The sequence below is a fragment of the Homo sapiens genome, chromosome 8, assembly GCF_000001405.40.
Source record: "Homo sapiens chromosome 8, GRCh38.p14 Primary Assembly".
NCBI classification, from domain to species: Eukaryota; Metazoa; Chordata; class Mammalia; order Primates; family Hominidae; genus Homo; species Homo sapiens.
The window spans coordinates 93974188-93992810 of record NC_000008.11 but is presented as its reverse complement, the minus strand read 5'-3'; the positions used below and the strand labels follow the sequence as shown (position 1 = coordinate 93992810).

At 44.2% G+C, this 18623-nt stretch overlaps 5 annotated features.

Moving 5' to 3' along the window:
• Window positions 536-830: a silencer, noted in NCBI's record as "tiled region #136; K562 Repressive non-DNase unmatched - State 23:Low". NCBI's record gives its function as "represses a minimal TATA promoter and a strong SV40 promoter by Sharpr-MPRA in K562 cells {active_cell/tissue: K562}" and the evidence as "EXISTENCE:reporter gene assay evidence [ECO:0000049][PMID:27701403]".
• Window positions 1026-1285: an enhancer, noted in NCBI's record as "active region_27623". NCBI's record gives its function as "activates an Ori minimal core promoter by ATAC-STARR-seq in GM12878 lymphoblastoid cells {active_cell/tissue: GM12878}" and the evidence as "EXISTENCE:reporter gene assay evidence [ECO:0000049][PMID:35858748]".
• Window positions 6772-6821: an enhancer, noted in NCBI's record as "active region_27622". NCBI's record gives its function as "activates an Ori minimal core promoter by ATAC-STARR-seq in GM12878 lymphoblastoid cells {active_cell/tissue: GM12878}" and the evidence as "EXISTENCE:reporter gene assay evidence [ECO:0000049][PMID:35858748]".
• Window positions 6892-7011: an enhancer, noted in NCBI's record as "active region_27621". NCBI's record gives its function as "activates an Ori minimal core promoter by ATAC-STARR-seq in GM12878 lymphoblastoid cells {active_cell/tissue: GM12878}" and the evidence as "EXISTENCE:reporter gene assay evidence [ECO:0000049][PMID:35858748]".
• Window positions 17413-17552: a silencer, noted in NCBI's record as "silent region_19364". NCBI's record gives its function as "represses an Ori minimal core promoter by ATAC-STARR-seq in GM12878 lymphoblastoid cells {active_cell/tissue: GM12878}" and the evidence as "EXISTENCE:reporter gene assay evidence [ECO:0000049][PMID:35858748]".

The window sequence follows — 18623 nt, the reverse complement described above, 5'->3', positions numbered from 1 at the left end:
CCTTGGGCTGAAGTGGATAATTAGCTCTTATCAGGGCCTCTCAATCAGGACACCCCTGGAATGGTTCTGAGTGCAAACTTAGATGTTTAGAGGGTCCGCAGGCAAGGACAGGCAGGGCACAAACAGCCACTACAAAGTCCTTGGAAAAGCCCACGGTGTTAAGTCCCAGATTCGCATCTGAGGATTTCCTGGAGAAAGGGAACAGAGGGCAGGGGCAATGTTTTCCAACACAAATAAATAGAATAAACCATCTATTTATTCGGTGATTCTCATGTGCCAGGAACTTACATGCTTTATCTCATTACCCTTCATAACAGTTAACCCTACTAAGTAAATATTATAGTACCTCTTTTACAGATGAACAAATGGAGGCATAGAATCTCATTTATATAAAATATTTTATTGAGCACCTGTTATTTTTCAGACATTGAGAACTGAGTGATGGGTGTGGCACAGTCATTGTTGTTGAAGAACTTCTGGCCAAGAGGAGGTCAAATAATTTGCCCAATACACTGTCACTGATAGGAATTAAGGGCCAGAATTTAAATATAGGTCTGTTTGGCTTGAAGACTTGGCCTTTATTCATTTATTTGTCATTTATTCAGCCATCATTAAAGTATTGAGCACCTACTATGTGCTGGGCACTTTGCCAAGGGCTGAGGTTAATAAGATGAATCGGGTACAGTTGGTTCCTGCCCTCATGGAACTTAACCCCTCTGTGCTGCCACGTGGACCCCTCGCCAGGGAGGCGCAGCTATCCTTCCTCTGCCGGGGAGCTATAGCCCTACTGCCAATTTTAGGCTGATTCTCTAAGGCCCTAGTTCATTCCTACTGTTACCACAGTGGGACATTTCTAGCTTATTTTTCTTTCCATTTAAAGACAAGAACATTTGCTTTGTTAGAGAAAACGCCGATTCTGGAGAGAAGAGATCACTTATAGACGGGATGAATATAACTGAATAAAATAAAGAAAATAAAAGGGACGGATTTCCTGTGTCTTCCCAAGCAGGCCCCGCCTTTTTCTCCATGACGGGCATCCTGCTGGATTGAAGGTAGAAAGCAGGTTGGTTTTGCCCTGGGGCTGCGTCAGAGTCCCCACCGGATCTGCACACATCACCGTGGCGTCAGCTGCCCACGCTTCACCTGCGCTGAGGTCATATTTCTCCGACCACGTTAGCAGGATCGTGTGTGGCGCCCGTGCACATCTGACGAGCATGTAACTGACGGCGTTGACTCCTGCCCCCGCCGCGGGGAGCCGGGAGCTCTGTGCAGACGCCCAGTCCCTGCTGAAATCAAAGGGGTTAGCAGCCTCCCAGCTCCCTCTGTTGACGACTTCAGCCAACTGTCATCTCTTCTCCAAGAGCCCTCTTCTGCTGCCCTGAGCCTCAGATTCTTTTTTGTTCCACTTTCCTTTAGCTTTTTGACTTCAGGATTAATTTGGGGACTAAATTATGTCTGACTAACCCTTGCATTACAGGCAATGTAATTTCGTTTTTGTCCTTAGTATTCAGAAAGGAAACTGTTGACGCCATTATTTCCTGTTCTATCAAAGAGGTGGGCTGATGTTTGTGTGTCTCACGTTCCTGTTAGGAAAGCTATAGTCTGTATCATGCCTATTACTTTCGTCACCTCTCTGGCTCCTTCTTGTAGGGTCTGTTGCTGTCCTTCCTCCTGGCTTTACCCACCTTCCTGGTGTCCCAAAAAAGCCCATTCATCTCCCATCCTCAGTGAGGGCTGGCTATCCCCTTGTTTTCTGGGGTTTGCCTGGGCATGTCTCACCACAGCACTAAAGTGATCACTTCGCTGTTTACTTGGCCCTTTTCTGTAATTCTCCCAGAGCAATGTCCTGCCTTTTGCTCCGCATGTCACATCTCAAGCCAGTCAAGTGTTTTGCTGCATGGATGAATGGATCTCTATACACCTCACCCACTGCTACTCCACAACAGCTACCAATGATAAAGATGGGATTTGTCTTGAATTGCTTTCAGGTCAAAGTTAGCCTTGATAGTCTAGGTTGCCAGATTTAAGTTTAACAACATAAGGGGAAATTCTTAGCCCACTGCCTGACACATAATGAAATTTAATAAACATCCATTTCCTTCCTTCCTTGGAAGAAGTCATTCAGCCTGAATTATCTTAGAAGGAGTCCATTCTTAGATATGAATAAGCCTGTACCCAAGATTAGAGGAATCAGAGCTCCGCTCATAAACATTTCCATCTTTCCAAAGAACAGCTCTAAAATCCAATATGGCAGAATTTGTGAGCTAATAGAAACCTGGAACTAAACAGCCCTTGGAAATCATCTCTATTGACTCTTAGGCAACTTGGCAGGCTTTAAATAGATGGAAAAAATTAAAATATGCAGATATCACAGCAGCTGCCGAAGATTACCTCTTGGCTTTTTCTTGAGCACAGTCTCCAGTAAGCGGACTATAAGCGGACTACAGTCATTGTGCTACTCCTCCCAAGGAACAGTTCACCTTCCCTGGGCTCATCTGCTTTGATACATTTGTTGCTTTGAAAACATAGCTGGCTGGGCACAGTGGCTTATGCCTGTAATCCCAGCACTTTGGGAGGCCAAGGTGGGCAGACTGCTTGAGCTCAGGAGTTTAAGACCAGCCTGAACAACACAGCAAAACCACATCTCCACCAAAAGTACAAAAAATGAGCCAGACACAGTGGTGCGTGTCTGTGATCTCAGCTACTTGGGAGGCTGAGGTGGGAGGATTGCTTGAGCCTGGGAGGTGCAGGCTGCAGTGAGCCAAGATTGCACCACTGCACTCCAGCCTGAGTGACAGAGTGAGACCCCATCTCAATTAAAAAAAAAATAGCCGCTGACTTATGGTGGTCCTTAAGGAGATACTGCAGGCCCCTTGTGAGATCCCATAAGTTTAAGCTCGGATGACTTCCTTCAGAAGTGACAGCACATCTAAACACAGGTCTGCCTGGAAGGAGATGGTTTGGCCTAGGAAAAAGAGCACAGGCTTTGATGTCAGGTGCACCTGGATTTGAATTCTGAGGCACTTTCTGACTGTGGGGCCCAGTGCCAGGGAAGTCAGTAACTTCTCTGACCCTTGCTTTGCTCATCTGCAAATGGGCAAAATTAATGAGAAAAATGGGAAAATTATGAAAAATGAGAAAATTAATACCTATCGCTGGAGATTGCTGGGAAAGTTAGACAACTTTAGGTCAGGCACATAGTAAGCACCAGACTAAGTTCCTTGTTGCACATTTGAACATCACTGGATCAAACAGGCTCAAAAGACGTTCTTGACATATCATGCCATTGAGAATAGGAAAGGATTCAGGAGAAGGCTTTGCTAACCACACTTACACTATAATTTTTTTAGGATAGTCCATATCTACTGGTAAAAATAGGTTTCCTAATAAATATAATAAAGAAGGCGAAATAATAGCACTTTTTCTGTTGTCTTAATTGATTGAATTCCATTTCTGCTATGTAACAAGATATGCCCGGTGTTGGTCTGTACTATATCCATACAATATTTTCTCTTTTAATTTGCTGTCACTTTTTGAGCACCTATCATATATTTCATTAGGTGCTTTACATAGACTTTTCTCATTTAAGACTCCCAATAATCCTATGGAGGGAGTGTTATTATTCCAATGTTACAGATGAAGCTCAGTGAAATTCAGTGATTTTCCTAAGGCTGCACATGTTTGCCTGACTCTAAGTCCCCTCCTGATTTTAGAGGGTGTGTGTATGTGTAGACCACTGAAACATGGCCTTTTTATGTGCATGACACTGGCTTATATTTATCAGAAATGCACTGTGAGTTCTTTCTCCCATGAGGATGGTACTGGTACTCAAGAGATATTTGTTGGATAAATGAATCTTCTCCTTCTCATCAGACCTTACTTGTAATCAGTCATGTCTTTGTGTTAGTAGCCAGAAACATCCATGGCATGGAATTTCCTCCCTCTGAACAAAGATCTTACTTTTGTTTTTGCTAAGCTAACTATGTCAGATGAAGGTCTGGACATCCACTTGACATTCAAAAAGTATCAGCTATATTCTTTTCTTATTTACAAGCCTTGTCTACCACCCCAGCCTCCATGCTCACTACTTCTCTACATTCTGGTCACACTAGGCTGCTTCTAGGTCTTGAAGGCACCATGTTCCTCCAGCCTTGGGGGTCTTCCCAGGCTGCTCCATCTGCCTGGAATATTAACCCTTTCCTGAAGAGTCAAATTCTGCCCAGTCTTCAATACTTAACTTAAATAGAACTTCCTCCAGAAAACCTCCCTGACTCTGTTCCAGTTATCAATTGCTGGGTAACACACCTCTTCAAAATGTAATGGCTTCAAATAACCACCACTCATTTGCTCATGAATCTGCAGTGTAGTTGGGTTTGATTGGGGACAGCTAATTTCTGCTCCATGTGGCACTGGACCAGCTTAACTGAAAGTGGAGGGTCCAAAGTGGCTTCACACACATGTTTGGTACCTCGGCTGGGATGGCAGACTGGGTCCCATTCTCTTTCTATGAGATTTCTCCAGCTGGACCTCTTTATATGGGTTTGGCTTCCAAGGGGAGAAAACAGAAGCTACAAGGCATCTTAATGACTATGCTTGGAAGTCACAGGGTATATTTTCTGTCACATTCTATTGATCAAAGCAAATCACAGGGCCAGTTCAGGTTCAAGGGGAGGGGAAATAGACCCATCTCTTGGAGTGGCAGGTGCTTAGAGGGTTGGGAGAAAAGGCTGGTGGCCTTCTCTGCAGCAATCTTTCACATGCTCCTAGACTAGGCTAGTTCTATCACATAGAGAACTGTTCCCTTCTCTGTAAAACTAAGTGCACTTGTAAATACTTATTCAATGTCTATCTACATTCTCCTATCGCCTCCCACATCAGCCTGAAAAATCGATTAGAACAGGAATCCTGTTTATGTTAATTGCTGATTAGAACTGTGGGATGAATGAATGAATGAGTAGGTGAACATGCATGCTATAGTCCAGGCATACGGTGCAGCTACCACTCATGTAATGTATGTAGTTTTCCTTTGTTGGTAATCATAAGCTTGATACTTAAAGTCATGTGGCACTTCCTCTCCTCTGGAAATATTGACCAGTATCTAATGAGGATTAAAGTTTGATGATTTGTAAGGGCACAGAAAAGCTTACAGTCCTTAAGAGTGCTTGGAAAATTCTTACTTCTCTAGGAGGAAAAGACAATGATTATGTTATCAGCAATTTGTCTTAAAGTTATTGCAACATGCCTTCTTTTTTGGTGCCTGGAAGTCATTACTGCAATATTAGAATAACTGGCCTTGCTGATGTTTGACTATAAGTGGTTGTTCTGAAAACACATTGGAAAATCCCTGCCCCAGTCCCCGTCTATCTTTTGTGTGTGTGTGTGTTTTTAATGTTAACAAAAACCAGAAGGGGAGTTTAAGAGAAAAGCAAAACCAAACATGGTTATGCAGCATTCATGGGAGTTTGTTTCAGAAGCTCACATTTCAAATGCTGAATTAATTGCAGGCTTATAAAAGTAAGAGTGAAAAAGAAAATTTTCAGAACCAGGAAATAAAAAAAGAGCAAGTCTGGGAAATCAACCAATGTGCTTTTCTTTTGAATTTTTTTTTCCATGAAAACAGAACAGGATGTGAGGCACAGGGAAATTGGGACTTTTTTTAGCCAGAGCAGGGTTTGAAAAACCTGGTTTTGACCTATGAGTCGTCTGATGCACAGATGCCAACCCTGGAGCCCTTCTGGTTGCTGCCCATCTCCTCGGCCTTCATCTGCATGACCAGCTGAGCTGAGCCAAGGCCTGTGACAAGCAGGAACTGGATTATCAGCCACCCTTGCATTGTGTCTCATATGTTCCTCTCTATATTAATCATGCTTAGGTGCCAGGAGTATTTGCTAGCATTCCTAAGATGAAATGAGTTCCTGTTGGCAATAAGTAATTGTTCATTTAAAAGACAACTTAAAATGTTTAAAATATGTGTGTGTGTGTTTGGGAGGAGTATATATATGTGTGTGTATACATATGTAAAACTTCATCAGCAGATTAAAAAGAGAGTCTTAAATTAGAAGAATTCAGGCAAGCATGGCCTCTTATCCTCGTAGAGCAAACACTCCACATCTCAAAGCTGAGAATGACATGTTTTTCATTTGGATTTCTAGGCCTAAGTTCAGCATTTATTTCTTTATAAATACATATAAACAAAGTCTCCAGGCAACCATCATGAAATAAAAGCAACTAGTTCTGAAAAGCAGAATAATGGCTTTCATTTTAGTCTTCTTTTTTGCTACTTGGGAAATCTCTCCCACTCTACACCACTCCCACCAATCGCCCATACACATTCCCCAGTAAAAACAATAGTAGTTTATGGGTTTTTTCACCACCAAAGAGGGAAAAATGTCTTGAGCCTCAACATATTAAATATCAGAGTTAAATGGGTTCACAAAATTCCATTGGTTAGTACCCTAAGTTGGCTGATCTTAGCTAAAACAAACATCAAAGAATGCGGGAGTGCTCACTGGCTTCTAGGATCATCTGCCTCATGCAGGTTGCTTTTCTTGCTGTATGGCTGCCTAGCAACCTGCCACCAGCCAGTCTCACTCCTTCCTGCTCATTTCCTTACACTGGTCCCCAAAGGCTTTCCTACTTGTTTGTCCTACAGTAGCAGGATCTAAACACCCAATGCCCGCAAGAGTGGCTTGGAAGTTGTTTGGGATAAGATCGTGGCAGTCCTTGAATGCCAAGCCCTGGAGTCTCCCACTAATTTGAGAGATAATGGAGAGCCACTGTCACTTGGAAGCAGCAGACCAATGTGATCAGAGCTGGCCCCTGTTTAGGAGGCTGTGAGGTAACAGACCACAGTGACAGCCACAGGGATGAAACAGGATGCAGAAAAAGAGCTGCATGCCTGTGGTAGAAGACACGTTGGCTGTGGGAGCCCTGGAGATACCAAAGGCGCTGCCATGCTTCAGGTCTGGGGTGGGGCCATCTGCAGATGCAGTGAGTCAGGAAGCTACACGGAGAGAACTGTAAGAACCACACTGCACTTAATGAGTCTGAAGGGTCAAAGGAACAGAGAGGCTGAGGTGCCCACATTCTCCCCAAAGCTTCCTCTAGGAGGAAAATCACCACAGAGACTATTCGAGGAGCTATGTGACTGTGTGGCTTCCTTCAAATCACAAAAGTGCTGTGAGGGAGTGGACAGGTTGGGACAACTTGTAGTGATTTCCCCAAAGCCTCACTATGCCACTACCGGCCCACAGGGCTGTCCCATGATGCAGGCTGAGCCACGTGTAGTACCTCCTCCCACTGGCCTGTGATTGGCCTAAACTGGGCAAGAGTCTGTGGCTAAGGAATCAGAGTCATTTCTTGGAAATGTCTACAGAGGTCTCCATCTGGAAAGATTTGAGCCTAGAACATGTTCCTCACCAGTGAATGCAGCCCATCTTCAAAAGGAGAGAATAAAACCCTTTTATTATTACCACTTTTATTGCTATTTATTATGAAAATTACCTTTCCAGAGGTAAGCAAAGACAAGAACTTTACCTGGTAGGGATCCAGTCCCTGAGTCCAGCCAACTCTGAGGCTAGGCTTTTTCTTGGCTGGGTCACATGAGCTAATAGATTCCCTTTTTATGGATTAAACAAGTTCAAGTTGGGTTTTAGTCACTTGTAACTTAAGAAACCCTGCATAATATTGCACTGCCATCTTGATTATACAGACAAGGGAACTGAGGCTCAGAGGTCAACTAAATCATCATAGAAACGTATATTAAGGCACAAGGTTTTGAAGCTGGATTTGTCTGGACTCCAAAGCCAGAGTTCTTTTCTTATACCATTTTGCCTCCCAATTGATCCCACAATTGCTGTTCTCAAGAGAAGGGGTAAATAAACAGACATGTTTGGATCTCTTCATGTTGTCCATAATCCCCTAGTGAAGCCATCTGTGACACTGTTTAATGCCCAGTGCCACGGAAAACAGGAGATTTGTTCATTTTGCAGATGTTTTCCATTCTCTCCAGATAGTAACTCTTCTCCCTGCTCCAGCTTTACAAGCAAAAACCTACTTCCAGCTTGGGAAGAAATACAAGACAGGTATTTGCCACCTACCACTTAAAGGGAGTGGTAGAGAACGCTGTGCTTTGATGCACAAATCCTCATTAAGGACCAAGGGTAGAGAAGGGGAAAGGTGCACTGAATGGGGCAAGCATCCACCCTCCAGCTCTCTAAGAAACAGGAGCTGACTCAGAAGTTGGGGAGAGCATGGTTGGAGATGTGGCCATTGCATAAGCTCACAAAAACTTCTCCAGCTACCGTCAACTTCTGAGTCTGTTTCTTCCAGGCTGCAGATTCACAGCAGACCCATATTGCTTGGCACAGCACAAATCAAGGGCCAACTCCAAAATTAACTTCTCATGGTGAGGACTGGGGTCATATAGATCAGTTAGGACCACGGGAGCGAGCCAGAAGAGGGAGGGTGGAGGTGAGTCTACCAGTCACCCCAGGAGATGTCAAGCATGATGGTGGGCCCTAAAAGCAGTGAAGAGGTCCATTACCTACTCTGTAGGCAGGACCACAGGAGATCAGGGAACCGAGTGATCATGGCAGATGCCACTTGTTTGTGAGCAAATAGGAGACACAGCCTGGGGACCCAGGAGGACATGGTAAACATGAGTACAGTAGTAACAAAGATCAGTTACTCAGTCTGCATGGGCACGGTCCTATCTGAGGCTCTTTACCTGCACTCACTATTTAATCCTCACCATCAGCTTATACAATAGACATCATTACATTGCCCAGATGAATAATCAAGCGCAGGGAGATTGAGCAACTTACCCAAGGTTCCACACAGGGGAGAGCTGGGTCTCAGCTTTGAACCCACAGTCTATGACCCAGATGTCCTGTGCTTACCAGTATTTTACTCAGCAGGTGGGGTAATGAAATGTGGGTTATTGTTCTTATGGTGGCCCCATTTGCAGCCACAGGTTATAGTCAGGCCTGATGGGAACATTTGGTTTGTATTTTGTTGCTGTTGTTTCAGATCAGCCTTATTCACCACTTGACAAAACACGTCCAAGGATTAGTTTCAACAGAATGACTTAGAAAGCCTTAACTCTTCAGGCTCCACGTATGTCCTTACATAAGAACCTGTCCACTCTCTTGTAGCTGTAACATTCTTTCCCTATTACAACCCCATCCTGATAATACCCATACCTGATAATCCCATAACATGCAATCAAATAATCCGTTCCATGTACAGATGCTCAGCTGCGACACTCGGCATGGGGCTTGTCTGAGGGGCACTGGAGTCTGGACATGTGTGTTCACATTACCACCTCGTCCTTTCTAGAGGATGGCATGGTGTACACCTGCTGGGGGTTCTTGGTTATTTGGAAGTTGCTGCTTTTGTTGCTCTGCGTTCTTCCTCTGACATTCTTCCTGTCAGTCCAGATGGCATTGACTTTTGAGCCGGACCTTAGGCCATGCTCATATACGTCTGCCAGGGGCATTTCTAAGCCAACAGATATGGATTTTTATACATTTACCCAGAATGGGGAATGGAGCTGGGGTGAAGGAACAGCGTGTACAAGCGGGTTTTTAAAACAGATCAGCCACTAGAGGGAGCGATAGAGGACGGTCTTCAGGGAATGCAGCAATTCACTGTGGGAACCATCCCACCTGAGTCAGTGAATAATGTCTTTATCCGAGAAGGAATATGGTCTGGGCTACATTTCTGTCATGAAGAAGATTTGCCATCTCCTTCCTGCATGTTTGGCTAATTACATTTTCTCAGCTCCCCTTAATTATACAGACCAGATGCTTTATGACTAGAAATAGCATCAAAGACAAATAGTCTGTGACGAAGAGTCATAAATTGGAAGAAAACAACAAATTAAGTAGTCTAGTCATTGTCACACTTCAGTCACTGCAGTCCATCTTCTCTATTCAATTAGTTTTGCATTCAATGAGTGCAGCGGTAAGCATCTCTGAAAATTGGAGCAAAAGTATTTTGGTTGTTTTCATGCTTTCCTTTTTTGTTTTTTCTTTTGTTTCTTTTTTCCTTTCTTTTTGGAATAAGCAGCAAAAAAAAAAAACAGCATTTCAAATCGTTTAATGTAAAAATTCATCAGCTGAAGAGTGCAGTACAGAAAAATCCCTTGGCAGTGCTCATTTTTTAAATTAGTTTTTAATTATTCAAAGAATACATGAATATATTCTCCTCATTTAAAAAAAAAGAAATTACAGATATGTTCCAGTCCCCCACTCCCAGTCCCCCTAACTCAGAAGTTGAAGAGAGCATGGTTGGAGACATGGCCATTGCATAAGCTCACAAAAACTTCTCCCTAAGAGCACTCCTCCCTCTCCCAGAAATAATCATGATTTCTTCCTCGTGTGTTTTCTCCCAGACATTACTCTAATTATTTATTTAGATTTCCCTTAATCCCTTTGAATAGCCAGGCTTATGTCAGGCCTTATAAGATACTAGAAAGAGCACCAGACGTGGAATTGGTAAGCCTGCTTTTGAGTCCTAACTCTGCTCCCTGTTATGTGGCTGACTTTAGGCAAGCCATGTAAGAGCTCTACAAAAGGGGTTAGCAAAACCTCCATTTGTTCAGACATTGGTTCATTCATTTATTCTACAAATATTTATTAAATTCCTCCAAAGGACTAAGCACCTGGGCAAAGCCCTGGCCTAAGGAGGCTTGCAAAGAAGTGAAGAGATCATTGTGGGCATGTACGATAAGGGGCATGTCATGGAAGTCCCAGGACGTGGAAGTCCTCCTTTGGGAAAGGCTTCCAGGAGGACGTTATGGCTAAGCTGCAATCTGAGGAATAGGAAGGAATTAGGCAAAGAGGAATTGGGGTGTAGGTCAATGTGTGAGTGCAGGAGGTGGGTAGAGAAAATGTTATGTTCAAAGGTTCACTGGCAAAAGAGAATAAGTATACTTCAGGCATTTTTTTTTTAAGTCAAAGAGCTAAAATATGATTGAAGCAGAGAATTTGAAGGGGGCATAACTAGAGAGGAGGTGGGAGAGCTTGGCATGGACCATCATAACCACGTAAGGAGTAGGGGCTGGAGCCAGCAGATAGCAGAGAGCCATTAACTTTAACCAGGTTCGTGCATGTTCAGATTTGCCCCGTAAATGGTAAGTGCTAATGATATTAGCTATGATTAATACATTACATTCCTTTAGGCAATACAACCAGTGTTGTCATTAATAGCGGTCACTATCTAAGAAGCAATTTCCAAGGGAAAAAGAAGAAAGAAGAGGCTGGCTGGGGTGGGTGGTGTGACCGTGGCCAATGGTCCTTTGCAATCAACATTCTTTCACCCCAAACCCTCCATCCCAGTTGTATCTTTGTAGTCCTACTGTAACTTTCATCTTTTTTCTTCCCTAAACCAGAGATCTGAGAAACGAGTAAAATAAAAAAGACAGGGAAATTTCAGGAACACAGAATCCAGGGACCCGGGAGCTGCAGGTCATCGGTGGGCCTGTCCTGTTGCCTATTGTGTGAACTCATGCTACTCAGCTGAGCCCCTGGCCGTCGCATGAGTGGGAGCATCTAGCTAGGGAAGCTAGGCTCCGTCAGGCTCACACCATGGGGTGCCCGGAGCTGTGCTGCTCTCGCTGGGTATGTTTCAGCCCAGGCACAGGCAATTGGAGGGGGAGCAAATGGCCCGCAAATTAGGCTGTGTGCTGTTGACCAGGCCACTCCTCATTTTTCCTCATTACCCTCCCCAGGTCTTGTCTCCATTGTTAAACCAAGTCAGGGACAAGGGGGTCAGTGAAAAAGATGCTGGGTATGATCATCTTTTCCAGCTCAAACATTCAGTGATTCTTGCATTTTGGTGAATCTGGCCAAAACCAGCTCCATAGGAGCCAAGGTCTCTTTGCTTACCTTGGGGAAAAACGCTCCACTTGCAGGGGTTTGGAGAGTTCAGTGCCCCAGACCTGGCCAGGCATCTGCCTGGGGATACAGCCACAGAGGCCACCAGCAGAAAACCAGAAGGAAAGCATCATGGGACCCTTCTTATTAAAACCAAACCAGACTTGCTGTGCTAGGAAAGGGAAGACACAAATGAATCCCATGAGGACAGCTGGCTTTGAGTTCCTAAAGTGTCTTGAAGTCACCATGGCTTTCCGTCGCAAAACCAAGGACCAGGGTGGAAGCTGGGGAGAAGTAGATTTCTTTGGATTCAAAAATCTTAGCCGTAAATATCTAGTGTCAAACCTAGAGGATTCAGAGCCTGGAGCAGAGGTGGGCAAACTTTTTCTGTAAAGGGCCAAATAGTAAATATTTTAGGCTTTGCAGACCCTGTAGTCCTTATCTCAATTACTCAATTCTGTAGCAGGCAGCTCACAGACAGTAAGTAAACAAATGGGTGTGACTGTTCCAATAGAACTTCATTTACAAAAACAGGCTGTAGCCAGATTTGGCACACAAATCATAGTTTTCCAACCCTGCCTAGAGTGATTTCGAGAAACCAGAGAGCAAGGAAGAATACAATCCTTTTGTGGGCTGAGAAAAAAAAATCTTGGATGAAACTGGAAAATGAAAGCAAGAAAGTTTAAATGCTAGTGTGGCAATTACCCTTTGCCTTCACCTCAGTGTTGAAACTGAGTGGAAGATAAAGATGGTAATAAAATCCTGGATATGCTTCGAGATTTATGCTTGGAATAGAGGGTCTTTGTGCCCAGTGCATGCTGCCTGCAACTGTAGGAGGAGACAGATGCAAAACACACCTCACATCCACACAGGATGGCCAGGGGAGGTCAGAAAAGGCAGTGTGGTGAGTTTAGCAAAGGAGGATCTGAGCCAGCCCTGCCACAGCTCCAGGCCTTCCTTGGCTCCCATAGGGCAGAGGAAACCTGGACTTTCCACACACCCAAGTAGAGGTATGGAAGGTGGCTCTGGAGAGCGCAGGGTTGGCCAAGAGGATGGTGAAGGACAAGGTACGCAGACCCCATAGCTGAGCCAGGTGGTGGACAGCACAGTGGGAAATCACTGTGGCTGGAGCCAAGTGGATGCATGGTCAGTAGAGAAGCCCAGCTCCCACAGCAATGGCCAAGACTGTCCTCACGAAGAGAAAGGATATGTGGCATCCATTGTGGGTGCCTGGGGACAAGAGCCCATGAAGAACCAATGCCTTTTCCCTGACACCACAGATAATGATGTTTGGTGATGCCCAAACCCCTTGGAGCTTAGATGACTGCTGGGCAGGAGAGGAAAAGAAGAATGCAGAGATTGCCTGAGTATTGGACCCAAAGACACATACAGTCTAAACCAGAATTGATAGAATGACCTTGAACTAGCAAGATTAGCTTTTCTACCACAGGCTAGAAAGGGAGTCTCTGAGAGCTACGCTGGGTTCAAGCACAAAAAAATAAAGTTATATCTAGGAGCTCCAAACTTTCTGTCTGTGAATTTGAACACAAGTATGTAGGAAAAGAAGGGGGCAATCAAAGGAAGACTATGAAAAGGTGGGCTGACTCCTTAGATGGACAATGTCTGAACCTCAGAGATACATACTCAAGTCTGTTCTGGGCTTCAGGTTACACTGTCACCCCAAACCCATCATTGAGGCTCAACAGAGTTTGAAAACAGCACGGTTTTTGAGGGGGAGGATTGCAAAGCCTCAGAGACTAAGGCATAGGGTCTTTCCTAAGCCCAGAGGGGTGGCTGCCCTACAGATGTGTCATCACTTCAAAACAAGCAGGGACACCTCTGGGGTGGAGGTGAGGGAGTCCTGAGCACGTGTGGCCTAGGGTTTCAAACAAATTTCCTTCCACAGCTTCATATCATTCACAAGGTGAAGAATCATCCAGCAACTGACACAGTGCTTGCATGGAGTAGTATGAATTAATGCATGCCATTACCAGCTCCTCCTGGTTCAGTTACATGCTCATGTCATCATTGTCCCATAGCAATTTGAACATGCTGCATGATAATTATTTCTTGAGCCGCTTGTCTCCCCTGATGAATGCAAGAGCAAAAGCAAGGACTGTGCTTTCTGTTCTCATGGCTCCAAGTTTATGTAAATAGATAAAATGTAAAATAAATTTCAAAATCATCAATCCCCACTTCCTGAAAGAGCAGCAGGAGCACAGGGAGATGAAGGGGCTGCTCGTCTTCTGCCTGCCATGTCACGCTGCCTTTTCCTAGCACTGTCAAAAGCCTGTTTTAAATGCCTAGGCCATAATCTAAAACACTGAAGGCATCTTCAATGGAGTATTTGAAGTAGGTGGAATATTTACTGCATTTTACTCTTTTTGAGAGAGACAGAGGGTCTCACTCTGCTGCCCAGGCTAGAATGCAATGGTGTAATCATGGCTCACTGCAGCCTTGACCTCCCAGGCTCAGGTGATCCTCCCACCTCATCTTCCCAAGTAGCTGGGACTACAGGTATGTCCCACCACGCTTGGCCAATTTATTTACTTATTTATTTGTAGGGACAGTGTTTCCCCATGTTGCCCAGGCTGGGCTTGAACTTCTGGGCTCAAACCATCCTCCTGCCTCAGCCTCCCAATGTGCTGGGATTACAGGCATGAGCCATTACACCCGGCCTTTCTATTTCATTTTATTTCCCCATGGGGACTTTCAAAATTTGGGCCGGTGATTAACACTGGACTTAACACAGGAAATGCACAACTGACATGAACTGGATGGGGATAAATAACCTGCCTCATCACTGTGAAAAGGAAGTGACTCTTTTCTGCTCAGAAAGAATATATCAGAAATCCAGGGCAGTTACCACATTGTGATAAGATGCCTATGTGAAATCAAATAAGGAACACACAAAAGGAAGAAGCAGCAGTATAAAAGGCACAGAAAAAGACAAAACTCAACCTCACCCAAAAGTCATGATGGGTTTTGTTGAGACCATTGACCTGTTTCTACAATCTGAGAATCATTTCCCCTAATTACAGGAGTTATAAAACTGGATGATATATCAATGGTCTGCCTGCATTCATTTTCTATTGCTGCTGTTACAAAGTACTACAAACTTTGTGGTTTAAAACAAGACAAATTTATCTTACAGTCCTAGATGTCAGATATCCTAAAATCAAGGTGTCAGCAGGGTTGCATTCCTTCTGGAGTTCCAAGGGAGAATCCGTGTCTTCACCTTTTCCAGCTTCTAGAGGCCACCTGCAATCCTTGCCTCGGAGTCCCTCCCATCACCCCAGCCTCTGCTTGTCATCACACCTTCCTCTCTGACTCTGACACCTTGCCTCCCTCTCCTAAGGACCCTCCTGTTGCCTCCCTCTCCTAAGAACCTTCATGTTTACATTGGGACCACCTGAATAATGTAGAATATGCTCCTCATTTCAACATGATTAACTTTTTTTGATTCTTTTTCATTTATTTATTTTTTTCTCATTCTGTCACCCAGGCTGGAATGCAGGGGCATGATCACAGCTCACTGCAGCCTCAACTTCCCAGGCTCAAATGATCCTTCCACTTTAGCCTCCTGAGTAGCTGGGACCACAGGGATGCACTGCCACACCTGGCTAATTTCTCCGGTTTTTTGTTTTTTTGTTTTTTTTGTAGGGATGGGTTTTTGCCATGTTGTGCCAGCTGGTCTTGAACTCCTGGGCTCAAGCCAGCCTCCCACCAACATCATTAACTTAATCAGAGCAGCAAGTGTCACATATGGTAACACAGTCACAACTCCCAGGATTAAGATGTGGACAGTGGACATCTTTGGGGGGCCATTATTCAGCCTGACCCTGACTCAAGGTCTGGACCAACAAGAAAAATGGGCAGCCAGCACTTTTTTCCTCCTTTCCTCTCCTTTCATCCCATTTTCTACATTCAGTCAGAGATTGTCAGAACACAATTAAAAAAGAAGCAAGATTGGGGCTGGGGACTGACAGAGGTGCATTGCATGCCAGGAAATGTGCTTTCTAAAATCAAGGGCTGTGGATAGGGCCAGTGACCAGAAGAACCCTGGTAGAAGTGCATTCTGGGAGTTGCAGATTGTCATGCCCTAGCTCTGTTACAGTATCTGAAAGCCAAGTAGTGGAGACAGGGACACAACCTGCCTTAGCACAAGAGAAGTGCTCCAGACAAATGACCGCCAGACAGGGTACTGTGCACATACCCTGCCATCCATCTAAGGAGCTGAAAAGGGGCTTTGGTTTCTCCTTCTGGCTTGGCCTCTTTCAGCCTCAGAGTGCATATATACAGTCCAGAGAGATCTTTTCATATCTGAACTGCAACCCAGAGCTAAAATTTTCTCCCTTGGCATTCCTAGAGCCAAGGAAAATAGGAAATAGCTATTTCCACCTCTGGCATGGAAAGTAAAGTGATTAGGATCAATCCAGCTTCCTAGGATAACTAAAAAATCTGGATTACCTTTTAAAGCATCAAACATCAAAACACACTAGTGAGAAATTACTGAGCTCTAATCTAAGAGAGGTTAAGAACCTAGAGAGGTAAGCCCAGTGCTCAGAGGTAAGCCCACTGCCTTTATTCTGAGTGTATTTCATTTGTTGATCCAAAGATACAGTTGAAAACTTAATCTGGCAAATTCCCAAACCCAAGAAGACAAAGACAAAATGCAGAGCCCACCAAAAATAGGTACGGTGGTAGGACATCCCCTCTCCAGGTACCCAGAAGGACACAGCCTCAGAACAAAGTGAATTGGAAGAAAAATCCCACAGTGACCTGCAGCCTGGTTTTACCGTGCCTCGGTGGCCAAGGGAAGCTCAAGAATTGAACTTAGATTAAGGAAGGCCTAGGCTAATAGCACCTCTAAGCACCTAGCAGAAACAAATGAAAATGCTCTCAGGATGAACATGTCCTCACCTTAGGCTTCATATCACTACCACAAACAACTTTTCAAACACTACAATGAATGCATAGTGAAAGATAACCAGGTGCACTCAGAAACCAAATGCTATATGCAAAAAAGAGCAGAAAGACCAAACAACAGAAATAGATACACAAAGACCTACCACTAAGATTATCATATGCAAACTATACAACAACTATGCTATGTTTATAGAAATAATACAGAGGCTTAAAAGTTTTAGTAGAGACCTGGAATATATATTTAAAAGTAGCATGATGGAGCTGAAAAAGAACCAAATAGAAATTCTAAAATTTTAAAATGCAATAACCAAAATCAATAGCTTGCTACAAGATGACTTAATAGTACATTATACATGGCTGGAGAGAGAATTGGCAAACTGGAAGATGGGAGAGAAGAAACTATTAGAATGCAACACAGAGAAACAAAGAGATAGAAAATACAAAAGACAGAGTCAGAGACCCTGAGGATCCACGGAGGAGGTCTAACAGGCTTTTTGAAATCCCAGAAGAATCAAGAGGAGAGTGGATGAGGCAGAGGCAACATTTGAAGAGATCATTGGGATATGGCTGGCATCAGGATCCCTAAATAGCCATCAGTTATGTTCTGCAAGCATTCCAGGAGATAGCCAGCTGGTTGGCTCAGAGCATGCAGAGCTCCTCAAGGGGGCGGTGTTGCCTAGCGCCAGACGCCAGTCTCAGCATCTCAGCTCTGACAAAGTCCAAATGCTCTTCACTGATGGAAGAGAAGGCGGTTAGCTAGAGTTAGAGGAAGAAAGTGAATGGTCCAACCTCAAGAACTTGTATGGCGCAGATATCAGGAGGCAGAGAGAGAGGAAGAGACAGAGACCAACAGAGAAAATGAGTAACTCCTAAAAACAGAAATAAGTTCAGTATGCCTGGGGCATAGAGGCAGGTGATGAGATGATAGAGAAGACCCCAAAGGAACAGGTAGAACTGGGACATGAAGAACCTCATGAACCGTAAAGACACTGAGGCCTCATTCTATGGGTTATAGAAGCTATTAAAAGATTTCAAACAGGGAAGGGATCAGATTCACAAGTTAGAAGAAACACTTTGGGTAGAGCATGAAGAGTTCATTGAAGTGAGGAGTGTGTTGACTGGGGCACCATTAAGAGGCCATTAGATGTCATCCAGATCAGAGCTGACAGTGACCTGCTTTACATAATGGCATTTAATAAATGACAATACCTAAAATCAGACAAAAAAACCATCTATTTGCTGCCGAGTGGTCGAATCAACATGTGTGGCTTAACCACATAAAATCTAGATTATGTGGCCACCTCCATCTGTGAAACAGTCACCAAAATCCAGTGAAGAAACACCACCCATCCAGTACCACCAAAGCAGTTCTCTGTCATGTGTGTTCCCTGCCTGCACAAACCTACATGTACGTATCATGGGATAGAGACTCCTGAAGGACTGAAAGGCTGCTCTGGTGAGGCGGCCTCTGTTTAAACCAGCCCCAGGTGAAGAGAACATCCCTTGAGACGAATTTGGAGGCCAGGATTAAAGTCTTTTGGAGGCCAGAGCAAATTAAGGTTTCTATGTAAGAATTAAAAAGTACTTTGATCATGAGACATGGGTAGCTTGTCTCCCTCACTAAGAAGCAGGAGTGTTGCTCGTGGGGCCCACGTGCTTCTACGTGGTGTTTGACTCTGTATAAAGTCTAGTCCCAAAGTTCAAGGTGTCTGAAGAAGCCAAAGTATGAATATGTGAATATTGACTGTGCCAATAAACTCATCATCTCAACCCAGGAAAAAAAAAAAAAAAAAAAAAGACAGTACCTGATGTTGG